Raw genomic sequence first — 1,294 nt, forward strand, 5'->3', positions numbered from 1 at the left:
TCAAGAGCACAGGGAGGCTTAGATCTGCCTGCTCCATGGGGCGTGCGACTCCTGCCTGCTCCGTGGGGCTGCGGCTCCTGCCTGCTCCTTGGTCGTGCAACCCCGTCCACACCCCTCTACTGCAGCCTGCGTGATGGCAGCGGCAGGCCATCTGGAGCTGCCGCTGCCATCACTTCTGCTTAGTTTTTTCTATTGTTATGTCTTCCAGCTGTATTTTGAAATCTCTGTAGTGAATTTTTCTATTCCAGAAATTCTGTTTGGTTCTTCCTTAATATAACTATGTCAACTTACATATCCTGGATCATTTTTCTGGTTTCTTTGTATTAGATTTCAACTTGCTCTTGGATCTCATTGTGTTTCCTTGCAATTCATATTTTGAGTTACCTTTCATTTCAGACATTTCCGTCTAGTTAGGATCCATTACTAGGTAGCTGGTGTGATCCTTTGGAAGTGTAAAACACTGTTGCTTTTTGTACTACTGGAGTTCCTGTGCTGATTCCTTCTCATCCAAAGATGCTGTAACTTCTTTTTTTGAATTTGCTATCATTTGGGTGAGGCTTTTTCATTTTTTAATTTTTTCCCTTGGGGGTGTATGACTGTGGTGCATATTGTGTATGATCATTTGGCTTAGTTTCTAGGTGCTTTCAGGAGACAAGTATTCTGTACGGGTTCCTTGGTTGTGGATGGGTTCTAGGCGGTGGAACCTATCCACAAGCTATCTCAGATGCTGTTTGCTGTAGCTATGTATTTTTTGTTTAGTGGTGGAGTTCAGATGGAGCCCAGTAGATGGCGATAAAAAGTAAGAGCTACCAGGTAGGCTGATGCCTAGTGTACGTGCCCTCCCTGATGAGGATGGCAGAAAGAGATCCTGTTGGAGTATGCTGAAGTCTCACGGGAAGGTGGAGCAGAAAGTGCATCAGCTCCTTGTCCTGAGCTGGCAGGAACACGATCTGCTTCCATATCATGCCCCGTCACAGGGCTCATGACCTGTTTACAAAGGCTTTGTTCTTTGGTTCCCGGCCACAGTGTAGCTGTACACCACAGATTGACCTCTCTGAGGGATACCACTAGTATGGGGGTCAGGGCAGAATTTCTTCCCCCAGTCCAGAGCAGGAAACTTCATGGTCTGTCCTCAGTTGCCGGGGCACGGCTGCTCCATATAGGGAGGGGAAGTTGGACCCCACCCTTCATCCCATTCTATTGTTAATGAGAATCTGATTGTTACCAGCTCTTACCATCATAAATAAAGCTACAATGAACATTCTTATGCATGCCTTTTGTTGGAAATGTGCAT

At 46.1% G+C, this 1,294-nt stretch overlaps 1 annotated feature.

The window, feature by feature from the left end:
• Nucleotides 847-896: an enhancer, noted in NCBI's record as "active region_22475". NCBI's record gives its function as "activates an Ori minimal core promoter by ATAC-STARR-seq in GM12878 lymphoblastoid cells {active_cell/tissue: GM12878}" and the evidence as "EXISTENCE:reporter gene assay evidence [ECO:0000049][PMID:35858748]".

Source organism: Homo sapiens, chromosome 5, assembly GCF_000001405.40.
Source record: "Homo sapiens chromosome 5, GRCh38.p14 Primary Assembly".
NCBI lineage: Eukaryota > Metazoa > Chordata > Mammalia > Primates > Hominidae > Homo > Homo sapiens.